This window comes from Homo sapiens, chromosome 1, assembly GCF_000001405.40.
Source record: "Homo sapiens chromosome 1, GRCh38.p14 Primary Assembly".
Taxonomy (NCBI): domain Eukaryota; kingdom Metazoa; phylum Chordata; class Mammalia; order Primates; family Hominidae; genus Homo; species Homo sapiens.
In genome coordinates, this window is record NC_000001.11 from 42,274,402 (window position 1) to 42,294,908 (window position 20,507).

The window sequence follows — 20,507 nt, forward strand, 5'->3', positions numbered from 1 at the left end:
TTAAATTTATTAAGTATTTAATATAGTTTTTGCAGAATTATGCATCTTGTGTAATGGTTAAGAACATGAGCATTGAAAAAAATCTCTACATCTACCAAGTCTGGTACCAAATCCTGACTCTATCATTCTCTAGCTGAGAAACTCTACAAAGTTACTTAACTTCTCTAATTCTCAGTTTTTTCACCTTTAAAATTTGGAAAATAATAGTACCTACTTCATAAGGCTATTGTGTGGCCTAAAGAGACAATGATGGCACTTAGTATAGTGCCTGGCAGACAGAAAATAATAAAAGCAGCTATTATTTGAGTATCTAAGTACAGAAACAAAAACTAATGAAACAAGATTTCTGAACAAAAAAACTCTAAGTTTATAATACTGTTATTAATAAAGCATATGGTAACACAAGAGACTGATTCTATAGGGAGATGAGAAATAATACATGAGCTGAAATAATAGGGCAATATCAACTAAAAAAAAAAGGCGGCGGGGGGGCAAAAGAGACAAGGTCCAAGGAGAAATAAGAAAAAAACAAAAGCAAGAAGGAAATAGATGTGCTTACTTACAGGGACAGCTAGTAGGCTGGAATGGCGAGAAGTATATGAAAGGAAGGTACAAAAAATAAAGCTGAAAAGGTAGATTGGGACCAAGATTCATGCTTTCATTCAAACTGCACTTATTGAAGCTTACTAAATGGAAGCACTCTGTGCTAAGGTATGGAAGAGAAAGAGATACAAAAACTTCAATGAGGCACAATCCCTTCCCTTACAAGGGAATCACGCACAGCACATCCTTGGTGCACGGTAAATCAGCAAATGTCTCTAATAAATCCAGTCAAATGAAAAAGGCAAAAGTGTTGAAGTAGGAAGGCCTAAGAGAAACTAAAGAGTAACTACCATCTGATGATAGACCTAAAGCCCTATAACTCCCTTCCTCTACATGTATACACACACCCCACATAGCACACGACTTGTTAATTCCTATGTAAGAATATGAATATAACATGTGCAGGGACGAAAGAAAGCAGTGGCCCACATCTATAATCCCGGCACTTTGGGAAGCAGAGGCAGGCAGATCACTTGAGGCCAAGACCAGTCCAGGCAACATAGCAAGACCCTAAAAATTAGCCAGGTGGGCATAGCAGCACCCACCCGTAGTCGTAGCTACTCAGGAGGACCACTTGAGCCCAGGAGTTTGAGGCTGCAGTGAGCTAGGATCATACCACTGAACTCCAGCCAGGCTGACAGAGAAAACAAGACTTTGTCTAAAAACAAAATAAAACTTAAAATAAAAATTTAAAAAAAGAAAGTTGAATGATTTGTTGTATAACATAAATTAGCTAGTACCTCAAAAGTCTCCTTAAAGAAATGGTTGATTCCAGGGGCAAGGAAGATACAATATAGCCCTGGAACATCTCAAGGTGCCAAAAAAAAGGGCTAAGCAAACAGAAGTATGGGGCCAGCCTGTAAGAGCTCCCAGTGGCCAAAGTTGCACAATTTGAATGACAACAACAGCACAAAGAATAAATATCTATGAGTGCATACTATTAGAAATAAATTATTGAATGAATAAAAGGGACTAAAGGAACAACTCATCTTTTCAGAAGAATATCAATTAATAAATGTCAAAGGAATTAAGGAAAAGGGACAATCACCATTTAAAAACAGTAATAATTGGCCAGGCACAGTGGCTCACACCTGTAATCCCAACACTTTGGGAGGCTGAGGCAGGTGGATCACCTGATGTCAGGAGTTCGAGATCAGCCTGGCCAACATGGTGAAACCCTGTCTCTACTAAAAATATAAAAATTAGCCAGGCACAGTGGTGGGCGCCTGTAATCCCAGCTACTCGAGAGGCTGAGGCGGGAGAATTGCTTGAACCCAGGAGACGGAGGTTACAGTGAGCCGACATGGTGCCCCTGCACTCCAGCCTGGACAACAAAGCAAGACTCTGTCTTAAAAAAAAGGGGGCGGGGGAAAGGGGAAGAGAGGGGAGAGAGTAATAATTGCTACCGTTATAACCTACCAATGAATGCTAAAATTAATGGATAAAAGTTTAAGAAATAAAGTACAGTAAGTCTTCATTTAGCACTACTAATGGGGTTCTTGGAAACCGCAACACTAAGTCAAACAAAAGTATAGCACGTCTTCAAATAACATCATTTCGTTATAATGTTGATGAGGAAAAAAAATTGGTCTCATTTTATGTTGTTTTGCTTAAAGTCAGTTTCCAAGAACCTATCAAAGTTGAGGACTTACTGTATTTGCATATGCTCAAAGCATCCCCCCAAAACATATTATTATTTACAAAGTGATAAATAGTAAACTTTACAATGAAGAAACCTGGCAGACATCCCCTTAACCGAAGAATCACAGTTAACATTCCCATTAAGACATACTTATATTATCTATCCTCTGATATGTTATGCACAAAAGGCCATATCGGTATTATTCTTCCCAAAAATGTATTACCTCATTCTAATTACAAGAAAACATCTAATCATGAGCAACATATATTGCCCAGGCTGGTCTCAAACTCTTGTCCTAAAGCAATCCTCTTGCCTTCACCTCTCAACGCGCTGAGATTACAGGCGTGAGCCACCATGCTCAGTCAATTTCTTAGTTTTGATAATTGTACTATGGTTATGTAAGATGTTAACATTAGAAGAAGCTGATGAAATATACATGGGAACCTTCTGTATTGCTTTTGCAACTCTTGCAATAATCTAAAATTCTTTCAAGATAAATATTTTTTAAAAGTCTTGGCCAGGCACAGTGTCTCACACCTGTAACCCCAAAACTTTGGCAGGCCGAAGCAGGAGGATCACTTGAAGCCAGGAGTTCGAGACCAGCATGGGCAACAGAGCAAGGCCCCATCTCTACAGGAAATTTAAAAATTAGCTGGCCATGGTGGCGTGCTCAGGCACTCGACCTTGGGTAACAGAGCAAGACCTTGTCTCTAATTAAAAAAAAAAAAAATCTTGGCCAGGCACGGTGGCTCACGCCTGTAATCCCAGCACTTTGGGAGGCCGAGGCGGGCGGATCACAAGGTCAGGAGATCGAGACCACCCTGGCTAACACGGTGAAATCCCATCTCTACTAAAAATACAAAAAATCTGGCCGGGCGCGGTGGCTCACGCCTGTAATCCCAGCACTTTGGGAGGCCGAGGCGGGCGGATCACGAGGTCAGGAGATCGAGACCATCCCGGCTAAAACGGTGAAACCCCGTCTCTACTAAAAATACAAAAAATTAGCCGGGCGTAGTGGCGGGCGCCTGTAGTCCCAGCTACTTGGGAGGCTGAGGCGGGAGAATGGCGTGAACCCGGGAGGCGGAGCTTGCAGTGAGCCGAGATCCCGCCACTGCACTCCAGCCTGGGCGACAGAGCGAGACTCCGTCTCAAAAAAAAAAAAAAAAAAAAAAAAAAAAAAATCTGCTGGGCATGGTGGCAGGCGTCTATAGTCCCAGCTACTCAGGAGGCTGAGGCAGGAGAATGGCGTGAACCCAGAAGGCGAAGCTTGCAGTGAGCCAAGATCGCGCCACTGCACTCCAGCCTAGGCGTCAGAGCGAGACTCCATCTCAAAAAAAAAAAAAAAAAAAAAAATCTTGACTGATAAAGACAGTTAGTACTAGTTGCAATACTACGTTGTTTTTCACTTTAGGCTCACTGTCAACTCACCTGAACTGCAGGTATGGTTTCCAGTGAACGCTACATTATCCCCGCTCTTACTTTATGCTACATCAGTCCTATAACATAATCAAGCTTCAACACACTAATAATCTACCAAAAATAAAGTTATTCACCTAAGCTAAAAACTTTTTGACATCCTAAAAATCACTAGAGATCAAAATTTCATATTCAATTACATGAGCATTCACAAAGCTTTATTTTCAGTAGAAATCAACATCATTGCTTACTTCATAAAAGTAATAATTTAAATAAAATCCTTACCTTCCAACCACTGCCAGCCTCTCTATAATATGGGAAGTTATCACAAATCCACTGATAAATTTCACTTAAAGTCATTTTCTTTTTGGGTGAGCTATTAATTGCAAATGTAATGAGGCTGGCATAACTGTATGGAGGTTTCCCATCTTTGTGCTGTTGGACTTCTTCCTGGTCCAGAGTTGTATTTGGGTCAAGGAGTGCATTCTTCTTAGAAATTCCTGTTCCATGTGCATTTTGTGTAGCATCAGATTTTTGGATGGCTGCTCTCATGGTGAGCTGTGGTAACCAGTCCATAGACGTTAGGCTGCTCTCCAGTTCAGATGTCATCCTGAAGGTAAATAGACTCCTTAGTCAATATCAAGGAAAGAACCCCTGCTTCTCAAAATATCCAATATTCACAAATCTAGGAGTTCCAAAGTGAGGGAAAGCCTGAGTTACATCTGGAGGAAAAAGATTGAGTATGTTAATGAGCAAACCAAATATTTAAGGGATCAACATTCCAATCTTTTTTCTTAATTTTTTCCTCACCAAAACATAACAAACTTGGTTTTAAAATTGTTTAAAATACAGAATATAGACAAACAAAGTGGTTCCGATGCCAATCTTTCTAAAAATCACTGCCTGTTTCTTTAAGAGGGCAACAGGATCTTGGTAAGAAAAACCCAGCTGCAGCCCAACTCTTTTACTCACCACCACCACAAGCCGTTAAAAGCTTAAAATGTACCTCTGGCATTTCTTTTACACAAATTTTAGGAGAGTCATAAAAACAAATTACCAAAAAGTAAGGTGGAGGCAAGAGGTCAGAGAAGTAACTGAGAAACTGGCATAGGAATCTGCATGAAGGAAAGAAGGTAGAGTTTATGCAGGTAGGCGGTAGGAAGAGTAAAGCAGGGTATACAAGAATAGCAAGGAGACAAGCTAGCTGGGGGAGTTGACCGAAAAAAGGAATGCAAAGTCAAGGACACTGATGAGTGAGAGAAAAATTAAATTAGGCAGTACCAGGGAGTTACTTTTTTTAAAAAACAAGTCAAGGAACAGGTTTACAAAAACTAACTGAAATTGTGGGAGTACAGAATCTAAGGCATTAAATCACATAAATGGTCAGCAAGAAAAGAAGCATTAAAAACTAAAAGACAGGTTTGGGCAAACGTCCAGTGATTTGAATTCTGTAGTGTATTTCTCTCCAAAGCTGAAAAATTCAGACCATTACCACACAAAGAAAGAAAACTAAATCTGCCAGGTTAACACATATCCTCGAAAAGGGAGAAAGCTGCTCTAAGAATTGAAGATAAGAATATAGAAACAAGGCTTGACACTTCACATTGGAATTGTTAACTTTCAGCAGAGGACATAAGCCCTTCTATTCTGGGATCAAAGAAGCAGGAATAATGACTGACAATAAAGTAGAGAAGAATGAAAAGACTTCTAAGTGATATCAAAATAAAGGAAAAAAGGACAACAAAATAAAAAAAAACTTAAAGGTTTCTTTTGACTTAAAAGTCAAAAGAAAACATTTGTAGCTATGAAAATCCCATATAGCCCCTTCATTCCAAATGGCTCCTGACAAAAAGCAACCTTGAATATTATGTATAGGATCTGAACAACTTGGCGGCAACAGAGAATAATAAAGAACAGGGAGTTTGGGGTAAGGAAGACCCAGAGTCTAAGTACTGATTCTAACAGTTATAAGCTGTAGAACTGTGAAGATGTTAATTACCTCTACCTCCCAGTTTCCTCATCTGTAAAATGCAACAATAGTACTTATGGTCAAAATATTACTTTGAAAATTAAATGTATTAAAACATGCACAAAAAAATATTCAGTAAGTGCTAGTTAATAATATTAGTCTAGGAGTATCTTGGGAGGGCACCAATGCACTATAAAGTAAACCACATTAAGCAAAAGCAATTATAAATCAGAAGACAACCACGAGGATTCTACCTGCACTGCCAGTAAATTGAGTCCTCTTGATTTTCAGGTATGTTGATCCATAATTTTACCTTACTCATTTTCTCAAATTCCCTCCATCTCTATTGTACACATTCCTCTGAACCTGAACTTTAAATTCATCCATATAGCATCTTCAGAGATCTTAAAAAAAAAAAAAAAAAAAAAAAAAAAACTTACTATCCTACTCTACAATCTCAACCAGAAATGCCTGTTCCCAGCAAGAAGTTATAGGGACTTGTAGAATAAGAAGATAGGATAATTTAGAGATCACACAATGTCAAAACAGTAGAGAAAGTACCCTAGAGATCAGAGATGAATCCCTTCAGTAATGAAAAACTGCAGTTAAAGCTCATCCAATTTCACACAGGTAGTTAGCAGTAGTACAAAAACCAGAGCCCAGATCTCCTGATACCCAATCTGGTAGTTTTGCTAAACATACCTCATCTGTAAGATGAAAAAATTTAAATAGTTCCCACCTCACTGATGTAAAGTATTCAGAACAGTGCCAGGCAAGTAATAAGTATTCAACAAATGTTAACTACTCGTATTGGTAATAAGAGTAGTTGCTTATATTATTATTCACATTTCATTCAATAAAGATTGGCTATTTTATACCATGCTGTCATCCAATTTACCTCAATCAAGTCTCCATGGAGTAGAGCTTTATTTTGTTCAAATTCCCAAAGCAGCCAGTTACATGCATTTTCATACAAAAGCATATTACAAATTGGAATATAATTGTTATTGCAGGTGCTCCCTACTGAGAACCATCTTTGCCTTCTGCTCCCTTCCACCAGTGCCAGTAATGAGACTTTATAAGAATCTCAGTAATACAGGTATTTACTATGTGTTATATATTTAACAAGGATGCATAAATTATACATGTGTAAAGAGCTATGTTACAGTAAAAAATAAAATAAAATAAAAATACACACATACCTGTCCTCCAGGAACTTATAATCCAATAAAGAAGTTCAGACACAACAAAGAACTGAATAAAAGTACACAGCTGAGCTGTGGGTGCTATGAAGGTTCAGGAAAAGGAATAAACAACATGGACTAAAGCCTTGAGGGTAAAGAAGGAAGAACTTAGCAAGTCTTCAGCTAAGTGAAGATTGACTTAGCTGAAGAACTTCAGCTAAGTGAAGATTTAAATAGACTGGAAAGAAAAAGGACCCTAGTCTTCAAAGCCATCATGTGTAAAAATTATTCCACTGTGCTTATATTCATCAGTTCCACAAGAGCAAATTTTAAGTACACTATAAAAACATCTCAAATTTAAACTCTAAAAAAGTGGGGCTTCTGTTCTGTTTGCAATTTCTTAAATTTTATATACAGCATTCTTGGTAGTGAAGCAAAAAGTGTCCCCACTGTTGATACTTAGGCTGGTGGCTACTGTGGTTCTCCATCAAGCGTGGAGAGCACAAAAGATGACCATTAGGTTTGGCCAGATCACCAGTAACTTTAGACACAAACTCATTAGGGCGGGTGCGGTGGCTCATGCCTGTAATCCCAACACTTTGGGAGGCCGAGGCAGGCGGATCACCTGAGGTCTGGAGTTTGAGACCAGTCTGACCAACATGGTGAAACCCCGTCTCTACTAAAAATACAAAAATTAGCTGGATGTGGTGGCACATCCCTGTAATCCCAGCTACTTGGGAGGCTGAGGCAGGAGAATCACTTGAACCCAGGAGATGAAGGTTGCAGTGAGCCGAGGTTGCACCACTGCAATCCAGCCTGGGCAACAGAGCGAGACTCAGTCTCAAAAAAGGAGAAAAAAAAAAAAAAGAAACAAACAAACTTATTAGTGGAATGGTGATGACAGAAGTCCACTTGTATACGAGAACAGATGGTGGTAAATTTAAAAACAGCATGGGAGGCTGGGAGAAATCTGGTTATGGAAATCTGGTTAAGAAATGTCAGGCCCTCATTACCTCACCTCATTCCAAAAGCTTCCTAGCTGGCTTCCTGGACTCTGATGTCTCAACCACTCCTCCCTACTAATCATATCCAGTCCATGCATACACTCCAAGAGAAACCTATCAACACTGCTTTCATGTCATTATGCCTAAACACTTTCAATGGCTCCCTAACTCCTACTATACTACATCTAAATTCCTCATTTTCAACTACTTTAGCTTTTACTAATCTTTTATTAATCCTTCTCTAAATTCCTAGAGCAATTACAACCTCAGTTTGGCAACTGACATGTTGTTTCACATGCATAGTTGAATCATATGCTTAAGCTTTCTACCCTCACCTCCTCTCCCCCAACCACTGAGGACAGTGACCATACATTAGTACTTCTGATGCTATCCAATACCGTGCCAGGTACAAATTATCTGAAAAATAACATAGTAACTGGATAAGGAATAAGGGCCTTCTGTTCTGGAATGTCCTTTCCTTCTCTGTCTGCCTGGCTGGCTTCTACTTCAAGACCAAACATCTCCCGCTACAGAAAGCCTGGTCAATCCCCTCTTTCCATCCTCCATCTCCTAAGCTAAAGGAGCTATTATTCCTAAAGCAGAGTATAAATACACCTATCACAGAATTTATATGTAACTGTGATTATCTTTATCTACCTCTCCCCCAGGAGATTCTGATCTCCTTGAAAGAAGAAACTTTCATGACTGAAATAGTAACTATCCAATGAAGGTATGCGTGTGCTCCTCCCCAAACAAGTGAGACTGTAACAAGTTCAAAAGTTAAAGAGGTGAGAGTACTAAGTAGCAGAAAGTAAGGGTACTCATAGGTTTGAAGTCTTTCGTAAGACAGAAAAAAGTATGACTCAGAGCACAGACTGACAGGCAGCTTTATACAGGAAAAGAAACCATTCTACCAGAATAACAAAGAAAAATGAGAATATGGGAGTAAGATGAAAAGCATATACTGTTACCTGTGGGAGAAAGCAAAGCACAGAGAAGAATTTGTCTGCAGTTCTTAGATCTATGATGGTAACTATTACTTAAAAGAAGTTCCATACAGAATTTTTTTCTTCATAAAATTAAAGGATAAGGAGCACCAGGTTCAGGCTATAACAACTCAAAACTGAGTCATAACACGGGGGTTTTAATCCCACTTTATGAAACAGGGACACTCATATGATCCCATGTATGCTTTTTAGCTACTTTAGTACACTGCGTGGCCTACCTCTGCAACTTTCCTAATTCCCAAAGTGTAGCAAAGGCTTACTCAGAAAGTTTTTCAAGTTTCAACCGTATCAAAAAGGGGGGCAAATGGGTACAGATAAAAGAAAATAAAAAGAATAAGAATAATGAGGGTAACAATGTTGTGACCCAAATATTACTGAATCCTCCCACTTCATTCCCGGCACATGGCATTTCATCTTAAGACCTGCGGCACATAACAAAACTGAGCAACTTAGAACTCAGGAGAAATTCTTGTTATTACCACAGGACTGATTCTTGAATTATTCCGATCTCATGCATCTCTTTGGGTCAATATGTGCTACCACTCCTATTACAGTGTTTCAACACCCAAAGCAACCAGAAGCAGGGACTATGGCAGAGACTCCTATTGCCACTTAATATCTGTTCTTACCTTTTACCTTAGGAATAAATCCCAATTTTATTCAGGATGGTATTGCACCTTTTGCCCTGCCTGCCCTCTGGAATGCGGACAGAATTAACTATTGCTCTAGCGTCATCTTGGATCGTAAGATGATCCTGAACATGGAAGCCAGATACTGAGCATATGGAAACAGAGAAAAAGTCTGGGTCCCTGATTTTTTTTGTGAAGTAGATTGTGAAGCTGCCATCCCAGCCGCAGACTGCCTACCCTACAGAATTTTAACGTATGTAACGACTATAAAAGAGTCTCTATTAGCAGATGAATGTAGTTCCTAACATAGAGAATTTAGGACATGGCAGTGTGGTGATACAAGTAACATAACCTAAACTAGCACACTCTCTTAAAGATGAATTAATGAGTTAATAAATTCCGATACTGACGGTTGGAAAGCTGATTACAAAGAATTTGGTCGAACTGTTATCTGTGGAATTTGAAAAGCAAGCCATATGCCAACTGAGGCTAGTGCAAAAACAGAAATGCAGGAAAAATTTAGAATGTTGGCATGTGTTGGCTCTTTCTCGCCATTTAAAGTGAAGTCCTAAAAGAGAAATAAACTTTGATTAGAGTTACAAGAAGAGACAGAGAAAGTACAGATTTGCTAAGATAGGTACTGCCTACCCTTGTCCTGCAATTTCAGCTAAGAGTCCTATAATCTGAAGTCTTTCTTGCAAGGCTGAAAAAACCAAGTGCTTCTGAAGTCCCAACTGAGGTAGGTGAGTGTACCTACAAAACTACAGCATTAGCAGTAGAGAAGACTGATACCTTACCACACAAAGGTAATGTTAAGGTGTTGTCTTTCCACCCAGACTATTGTTTCAGAAGGCCTCACGAAAGCCACCTTTTCCTTAGGAGCTAAAAGAGGTCAAATAACTTGGATGAAGGAAAATATCTTCTTTATTTCCACTAACTTGTGACTGAAATTTAGCATTTCCTTTAACTGTGACAGCAGACAACAAATCACAGTAACATTAATAGTATCTGTAACTCTGCCACCAATAAAAATCACAAATATAACCAATGAGAAATGTTGCAGAAATCTAAAATTTTTATTTAAACTCATCAACTACTTCAAAACTGACTTTCTTAGATTTGTCACTAGATCTTTTGTTTAATGTGTTATTTTAAAAGTATATATTACTATGTCACAAAGTTAGTATTTTGATAACTGTATTTTGATATAATTAACTGGTTTATTTTCAATCTTTTGTATTTTATGATTTTTTTCCTTCAATTTTTATTATAAGTTCAGGGGTACATTTGCAGGATGTGCAGGTTTGTTACATAGGTAAACGTGTGCCATGGTGGTTTGCTGCACAGATCAAACCATCATCTATGTATTAAGCCTGGCATCCATTAGCTATTCTTCCTGATGCCCTCCCTCCCCCTACCCCACCCCTGTATTTTATGAATTTTGAAACATTATTCTGAGAAAGATGCACAGGCTTCACCAGACTGTTAAAGATATTCCATGGCACCAAAACAAGGCATCCCTGAGGTAAGTAGAGTACAAATGGCAGTCTTCACATTAAAAAAAAAAAGTGTCTGGGCAGGTCCTTTGGCTCTAATTACTCGAAGGAGCAAAAAGTCTAGAAATTAAAATTTTTAAGCTAACTACATGGGAGGGTGAGAGGTGAAAGAGTCTAAACTGCAAAAGTCTCTTAAGTTTCTAAAATACTCCCCAAGGCTTATCAACGAAGAGAGCTGTAAAAACTGTGCATTTCCCAGAAACGGCATCTTTATCAATACCAATCTAAGATGTGGCCATTGAGGATAGTGGACAAGGTAAGATTCCTTGAAAGACCATAAAGGACAATGAAAATCTTCCCAAAGAGCAGATTAAAAGGACTTATTACTCTGCCAGGGAGTCTCTGCCACTCCTATCCAGCAGGATTTTATGATCAATATGGACTAGTGACTACTGAGTTTCCCATTATCCTCTTTTCTGAATAACACCTTTTATTGTTGTTTTCCTATTCCTTCTCCACCACTGTATTCTGGATATGTAGAGTGCATATAATTCATCTTTGGTTTATATAGGTTTTCAAATCACAAGAAGTCATCCTTGGCTCTGATGAAAGGGACTGTATCCAGAGATCTTATATTTTCCGATATAGTAAATGGTAGAATCTCTGGGTTGTCTCCCTTGAGGAATGGGCAAATGAGTATTAGATATAAGAAGAAAAGTTTATGTGGATGCTTGGGTAGACAAAGGAGTCAACTATGGAAGAAATCTAAAAAGAAATAAAATAATTTACTACAGACTGACTTTATATTTTGTTATCATGTAATGTAAAATAAATTTTTTTAGGTTTGTAAATGAAGAAATAACTTAGGCTATTTCCAAAGGAAAACAGCTGGTGTTAATTTTTTCTAAATTAGTTATATACAACCCAAATCAAAGTTTCTATTCTTAGTATAATTTCCGCAAAATAAGAGTCAATGTCCACATATATGGGAAAAGACATGGCTTTGTGATTAAGAATAGAGGCTCTGGAGCAAGACTGCCTGGATTGGAATCCAAGTTCTTCCCTTCAGCTATGTGGTCCTGAACAAGTAAATTAACCTCCTTATGTCTCAGTTTCCTCATCTGTAAAATGAGGATAAAATAATACCCACCCCAAAGGACTGTTGTAAGATTAAATGAGTTAATACATATAAAGCACTGAGAACACCTTCCAACACATAGTAACTGCTCATATTGTTATCAAGTTAATATTAATATGAAGTTCATACTCTTCAGGGTTTCCTAAATTTTTTTTCTTTTTTGAGACGGAGTTTCACTCCTGTCGCCCAGGCTGGAGTGCAATGGCAGGTCTCAGCTCACTGCAACCTCCACCTCCCATGTTCAAGCGATTCTCTTGCCTCAGCCTCCCGAGTAGCTGGGATTACAGGTGTGTGCCACCACGCCCGGTTAAATTTTCTATTTCTAGTAGAGACGGGGTTTCACCATGTTGACCAGGCTGGTGTCGAACTCCTGACCTCAGGTGATCCGCCTGCTTCGGCCTCCCAAAGTGCTGGGATTACAGGCGTGAGCCACCACGCCCAGCCAAGTCCTGGTATTAATTATTTTGGAGACCAACAATATTTCTTAAAATCTCCAAGGGAAGAAAAATTCACAATATATTCAATCTGTTCTAGGGTATACAATTCATTGTGGTTAAAAGAAAAAGTTGGCTGGGATGCGGTGGCTCACACCTGTAATCCCAACACTTTGGGAGGCCAAAGTGGGCAGATCACGAGGTCAGGAGTTGGAGACCAGCCTGGCCAACATGGTGAAACCCGATCTCTACTAAAAAATACAAAAATTAGCTGGGCATGGTGGCATGCATCTGTAATCCCAGCTACTTGGGAGGCTGAGGCAGGAGAATCGCATGAACCCAGGAGGTGGAGGCTGCAGTGAGCCAAGATCCCACCACTGCACTCCAGCCTGGGTGACAGAGTGAGACTCCATCTTAAAAAAAAATAAAAGTTTTAACAAGCTGATCTAAATTACCCTTGCTACAGAGAAGTAAATTTCTATAAATTCTATCTTGGAAAATGAGAACTGGTCAGGGTTCTCTTCATAATGACTGTAACATATTCTACAACAGTAACACTATTTGGGTTCCTTCTTCTCTAAGTTAAAAGTCCAGAACTTCTCCAACTCTTCTCACAAGATCTGTTTTAAGAATCACAATATGTTTATTGCTCTTCTCTAGTCTCTCCAAATCATTCCACAATTATTTAATCTCAGATTCATAAAACTGGGTTCTGAATTTATACAATCTAAAGCCTTCCTTAGAATTCCATTTAGGGCCGGGCATGGTGGTTCACACCTGTAATCCCAGCACTTTGGGAGGAAGAGACGGGCAGATCGCTTGAGCCCAGGAGTTCAAGATCAGCATGGGCAACATGGCGAAACCCCGTCTTTACAAAAAATACAAAAAAAATTAGTCAAGTGTGGTAGTGTGTCCCTGTAGTCCCAGCTACCCAGAAGGCTAAGAGTGGGAGGATCACCTGAGCCCAGGGAAGTCGAGACTGCAGTGAATTGTGATCACACCACTGCACTCCACCCTGGGCAACAGAATGAGACCCTGTCACAAAAAAATAAAATAAAAATAGAACTCCACTTAGAATACAAACCTAAGGATCATATATGGTCAAAGATATTTTATGCTATAATTCTCATCTTCAAAATATTTCACTTTACAATTTAGGGGAGGAAAAAATAAAGACTGTTGAACATTAACCAAATGTTTATTCTGTCATCAAGTAAATATTGTATTTTGCATTTAAATCTCACCCTATTAAAATGTCTATGTCTCTGAGTAGTTGTAAAGATTGATGAACACAACCAGTCTTTCGCATAAGAAGATTCAACATCATCTTTGCAGCCGTAATTTAAAAACTCAGAATCTGCTCCAGAATGTTTCTTATATCCAGTTTAGAACACACACACACATCCTTCAAGTAACATATGTCCACTAATTTTGTTTCATTAAAGTGGTTATCCTGACCTCTGTTTGCAACCATACTACTTCAGCTCACCAGCCAACATTTACTGGATATTCTTTCATCAGTTTTTTTCTCTACTTCTGCTTCCATGGCATTATACAAGTAAGTATGGCATCAATGCTGGCAGAGGGCTAACACGGTGGAAAGTGATCCTGTCTTGTCTTTTAGTGTTAAGTATGATGTACAGAAAATGCTAAAGAAACAGTTTAAGCTGCTATATGTGGTGTTTATGGATCAGCAGTTCTCAAAGTGTGGTCCAGAGACCCTTCAGGCAGTCTGAAGAGTCAAAACTATTTTCATAAAACATTATTTGCCTTTTTTCACTCTTATCCTCTCATACAGTGTATAGTAGAGCTTTTCAGATACTATGTGGTGTGTGATATCACAACAGATTTAATGCAGAGAGAGATGAGAATCCAGCTGTCTTCTATTAAGTCAGATATTTAAAAGATCTGCAAAAATATAATGTAATGCCAATTTTCTCACTAAATTTTGTTTTGGAACATACAGTTACTTTACATAAAACTTGTTATCTATGTTGGCAAAGGGTTTTTTAAAGATCCACAATGTAGAACTGAATTCAATTATATTTGTTATATGCTGTACACTACGGAGACTTTTGTTATTTTTTATGTGAATATTTTAAATTTTTCTTAATTTTAATTTGTAATACAATAAATATTGACAGATATAACCCACATAAACAAAAGCTCTTTAAGCACTAATTTTTTAAGGGACGAAAAATAAGCAACACTGATCTTCAGTCTTTTGGTCTCTTCTTATATTTAGACATGTGTCTTAATATAGTATATACAATATTTATATATGAATATGTTTCTTAATATATATAATTATGTATGTGTGTTTCTTATATATAACAGAAAGAGTAAGGACTTTGAAGTTACTGTGATACCTAGGCTTAAATTCTTACTCTCCCACTTATTAACTATGTATCCTTAAAGAAGTCAAATAAACCTCTAAGCCTCAAAGAAGTGCTCTGAGGAATAAATGACAAGATACATGTGGAATATTTAGCATACAGTGAATGCTTGGCACATAGTAAGCATTCAATAAATGAAAAATATTATAATCAATTTTGTTAGAAACACTTTTAAAAAGACATGCTTATTTTCCCTTTGTCAAAAGTCTCCATAGTGTACAACATATACAAATACAATTCAATTCAGTTCTATGCTGTGGATTTAAAAAGACAAAAATCTTCCCTGCTCATGCACATGTCAGGCTTTGCATGAAATGCACAGCATCTGAAGAGGCCAAAAAATAATCTCTGAATTACCTATAAGTCTTCTCTGATACGCAATCTGACACAAGCTATTTAACAATATAAAATGTCTGAAATAATAAATATTACAGACCTTCCATACTGCTCATTATGATTACCTGAGTTGGAGTTATTTTCAGAGGATCATAAATACATTCTATCTACCTTTAGATTTCTTGTTATAATTTCAAGTGCACTAAGGTTCAAAGAAAAATTAGACTGAGTCTTTTACACAAAACCACTTTAATTTTTATTTAAAAAAGGACAAAAAGATAAAAAGGGGTAAGTAGAGAAAGCTGGGTAAAGAAAATACATTCAACTAGAATTAAAATGTTAGAAGATAGTAAATAAGTACGTTCCCTTGAGCACATGGTAGAATATGAGTAGTTGCATCAAGAAAAGGCTATGATGTTTTAAGGAAAAAGTTCCTATGCTGGAGGAGAAGAAAAAGATAGTTAAAGTCTATGTTAAAATTCACTCAACTCTGAACTTTAAAACAACAGTTATCAAAGAAGAGAAAAATTAGAGGACTACACCACCAGTCAATTCATTGGAGGAATTCATATTCATTGAAGGAGTTCAAAAAAATAAGTAGGAATAAGTTAAGCTAGAATCCCTTAAGGTTATGGATCTCACCATGAGTCAGCTGACCGTTACCTACTACTAGTTAATATCTAAACAAACAGACCTTCTGTTGTAACAGTGCATCAGTCATTATCCACTTACATAAAACATCAACACTGATTATCATTAAAATTCCATGCATGGTATGAAAAGGAGTGAAAAAATGTGAAGATAACTGACTTACATGAAAATCCCAGCACTATTTGGGTTGTTCACTAATAATCCACGTGTAAAGATGCTGCAGCTTATACTTACCCAGACTCTAAGAATCTCTCTGCCTAAAATCCTTCTTATTCTTCTTTATTCTATTATACTGGCTCCTTTTAAAAGATCCCACATTTTTTGTTTCTATTTTTTATTTCTTGCCATCACTTTAAAACATCTGAACTGTGCTGTCTTTATCACAGACTTTATCTTTTTCTTCTTATGAAGTACAGCAATTTCTTCCTTCAAACATCACAATCTTTACTTGATGGAACTACTCAACCCCTCCCATGTGCTCAAAGAAGCCACAGTTATTTACTATCTTTTAAATTTTTATTTGGTAATTTGTAAATATGAATACCCTAATTTTCAACCCTCCACTAAGCAGATATGGGATATCAGGCTCTTTTCTCAATTTCAAAAGCATAAAGGACTTAGACCGTCAGATTTCAAGGTTTACTGTAAAATTCCAATGACCAAGTTTTGGAGAAAGGACAGACATAGATCAACAGAACAGAGTCCAAGAAAAGACCCATATAGATAGATAGATAGATAGATAGATAGATAGATAGATAGATAGATAGATAGATAGATAGACAGACAGACAGACAGATAGATCCACAGTCACTTAATTTTTGATGAAGGCATCAGACAAGTCAGTGGGGAAAGGAAAGACTTTTCAAAAAATTATGTTGAAACAATTGTCTGCATGGGAGAAAAATTAACAATGACCCTTACATCACATCATACATAAAAATCTGAAAAATGAACAACAAACCTAGATGTAAAAGCTAAATCTATAAAACCTGCAGGAGAAATCATAAGAGAAAATCTGGTTAGGCAAATATTTCTTAGATATGACACCAAAAGCAATCACAGTTCATAAAACAACTAATAAACTGGACTTTATCAAAATTTAAAACTTTTGTTCTTCAAAGACAGTGTTAGGAGAATGAAAAGGCAAGCCACAGACTGGCAGAAACCATTTGCAAAGCATATATCTTAAAAAGGACTTGTGCAGGGCTTAACCCTACAAATTACAGGGCTCACATCTGTAATCCCAGCATTTGGGAGGCCAAGGCAGGAGGATCACTTGAGGCCAGGAGTTTAAGACCAGCCTGGGCAACATCGCAAGAACTCATCTCTAAAGAAAAAAAAAATTTTTGTTTTTGTTTTTGTTTTTGTTTCATCAAGGCAGGAAGATCGCCGGAGCCCAGGAGTTCAAGGCTGCAGTGAGCTATGATCATGCCACTGTACTCCAGCCTGGGCAACAAAGCAAGATCCACCTCACTGTGGGTGGAGGGGATGAACCAACAGGACTTGTATCCAGAAAATATAAAGAACTCTCAAAACTCAATGAGATGAGAAAACCCATTTTTTTAAAGGGCGAAAGACTTGAACAGGTACTTCAACAAATAAAATATAGCAAAGATTCAGAGGAGCCGAGGGCAGGAGCCGGATGGGGCCAGGAGGACGGGAGCAGGCTCAGGGTCCCGATGCCGGTGGGAGGAAAGGCAGGAGTGGGAGCCAGGGGATGGGACCCTGAGGAGGGGGGTGCAAGGCCAGAGGATGGGACCCTGAGGAGGGGGGTGCAAGGCCAGGGGACAGAACCCTAAAGAGGGGTTGCAAAGAAAAAGGATTCATAAGAAAAGATGCTAAACATCATTAGTTATTAGGGAAATGCAAATTAAAACTACACTGAGATATCACTACACACCTACCAAAAAGGCTAATTGAAAGACTGACCATACTAAATGTTCACAAGCATATGGAGCAAATGGAACTCTTACATACTGCTGGTGGGAGTTTAAAAAGGCATAACTGCTTTAAGGACAACGGCTTGGCAGTTTCTTAAACATACACCTACAATATGGCAGTCATTTCACCCCCAGGTATTTAGCCAAAAACTGAAAACAATCCAAATATCCATCAACAGGAGAATGAATAAACAAACTGTTGTGAATATACCCAATGGAATAAAAAGGAATGAACTGCTGATGCATGCAGCAACACAGATAAATCTCAAAATAATGAAACAAAACCCAGATAAAAATAAGAATACATATTGTATGATACCATTTATGTAAAAATCTAGAAAATGCAAATATATAATAAGGAACAGAAAAGCAGATCAGTAGATACCTTGCAGACAGAGGGACAGCAAGGAAGAACTTCACAGAAGCACTTCTGGCAACTGCTGGGAATGACGGGTATGTTCACCACATTGATGTGGTGATGATTTATGTGTGTATGTATTTGTCAGACTTATAAAATTGTACTATGTCAATTACATCTCAGTGAAGCTGTTTTTAAAAAACAAATATTTGTGGGCTCAGCATGGTGGCTCACGCCTGTAATCCCAGCACTTTGGGAGGCTAAGGTGGGCAGATTGCTTGAGCTCAGGATGTCAAGAACAGCCTGGGCAACATGGTGAAATCCATTTCTACAAAAAAATACAAAAATTAGCCAGGTGTGGTGGTGGGCACCTGTAGTCCCAGCTACTCAGGAGGCCGAGACAAGACGATTGCTTGAGCCTGGAAGGTGGAGGCTGCAGTGAACCAAGATCACACCACTGTACTCCAGCCTGGGTGACACAGTGAGACTCTGCCTCCAAAAATAAAATAAAAAACAAGTATTTGTGATTTGGAATAAGTAAAGATTTCTCAGCTTGGACATAAAAAGAGACAAACAAATATTTGTGATTAGGAATAAGTAAATATTTCTCAGCTTGAACAATGAAAGAAAAAATTGGTGGTCAGATGTTACCAAAATTTAAAACTTTCTTGCTCTAACAAAAAAAAAACTTGTATCCAGAGTATTTAGAGAACTCATATAACTCAATAATTAGAAGACAAACTACCCAGTTTTAAAATGTACAAAAAATTTAAACAAGGACATACAAACCCCAATAAACACAAGAAAGATGCTCAACATCACTAGTTATCAGGTAAATGCAAACTTAAAACAACAAGATACTATTCCAAACCCACTAAAATGTCTAAAAAAAATCTGAAAAGCAATAATAATAATCCTCCTTCCTGAATTTATTTTAAGCATACTGGGTTCTTCTTGATATCAATAGCAAAAAAAAATTTGTGCTGCGAGGTAAAGCATGAATGAGTATCTCCATTTCATATGGCTTCCAATCCAGTCTCACGAGCTTCTCTTAGTTTTCTATTTCTTGAATTATCTATAGACCTATCTTGCACTATACTAAGAAGCACTATCTTTTTCTCAGCCTCTATTTACTCAGATAGTCTCGTCTTTCCATAACTCCATGCTTTGTGCTTTTTAACATAGCTGATACATCATTTTGCAAGCTCCATATATATGTGAGACTGGCAAGGTGTTAATAAAACTGTGAAGAAATGGATCCCTACACTAAAAGCCCCATTCAGATCTAACCTTCAAAAGAGACCCAGCCAAACACTTATCCATCAGGTTCTCAAGTAAGCACTAGTAGGGGGTGGAATAATCTTTTTGTTTTCCTTTTCTTTTGTTGCTTTTGTGGACTCTTGAACACTAGTAAGGACGTAAGTATTCAATATATATTTGTCAGATTGAATAGAATTGAGGCAGGAGTCCAATTCCAAATCCACAATTATAAGGATACTCTGGATGTTCTAATACAAAGCTGGGAATCAAGTCTCCCATTCAATACCCAATGATCATAAGGAATCCTAAAATTATCCTCTCTTGAAATCCTTTCTCAACCAAAAGTGGATACATGCTGCTTTGTCTCAAACGCTTTCTGTAGTGTTTTGCCTAGCTCATACCAATGCCCTTTCTCAGAGGTGTCTCCATCCCCAGGGCTCTGAATGTTGTACTATACTTTGTCCGTACCAGTAATACAGGAACAAATTAAAGGATCTGAACCAAGGGTGCTACCTGATTCAAGCTGTTTACCTAAATTTTCTCCCCCAGGATTTAGAATTAGAAGTGAAACAGTTTGGGCTGCTCTCCTGAATAAAGAAGCCATGAACTTGAGGCCAGGCGCGGTGGCTCACGTCCATAATCCCAGTACTTTGGGAAGCCGAGGAAGGCAGATCATCTGGGATCAGGAGTTCGAGACCAGCCTGGCCAACATGGCGAAACCCCATCTCTACTAAAAATAAAAAATAAATTATCCAGCTGTGGTGGCGGGCACCTGTAATCCCAGTTACTTGGGAGGCTGAGGCAGGAGAACTGCTTGAACCCGGGAGGCGGAGGCTGCAGTGAGCAGAGATCACGCCATTGCACTCCAGCCTGGGCAACAAGAGCGAAACTTGGTCTCAAAAAAAAAAAAAAAAGACGCCATGAACTTGAGGGATAGAATGGCTATGTGTAAGAAAATCAAAGAAAGTTGCCTGTAGAAATGAAGAAATAAATTAGATTCAGAGAAATTCAACACAGAAGAGTAAGTACAATGCCTAGGTTTCT

The 20,507-nt window shown here is 38.2% G+C and overlaps 1 protein-coding gene across 15 annotated transcripts in view; it reads right to left on the bottom strand.

Moving 5' to 3' along the window:
• FOXJ3 (forkhead box J3) overlaps positions 1 to 20,507 on the bottom strand; it is a 159,333-nt gene that overhangs the window by 97,854 nt on the left and 40,972 nt on the right. For 10 of the 15 annotated variants that reach the window (XM_047449488.1, NM_001198850.2, XM_024454163.2 and 7 more), the window contains one exon: positions 3,947 to 4,271. In XM_047449488.1, the coding sequence (XP_047305444.1) occupies positions 3,947 to 4,271 (325 nt within the window). Of the gene's footprint in view, positions 1 to 3,946; positions 4,384 to 5,884; positions 6,037 to 20,507 lie in introns of those variants that run through there. The other 5 variants (XM_006710459.4, XM_005270632.5, XM_017000693.3 and 2 more) reach the window with 3 other exon arrangements.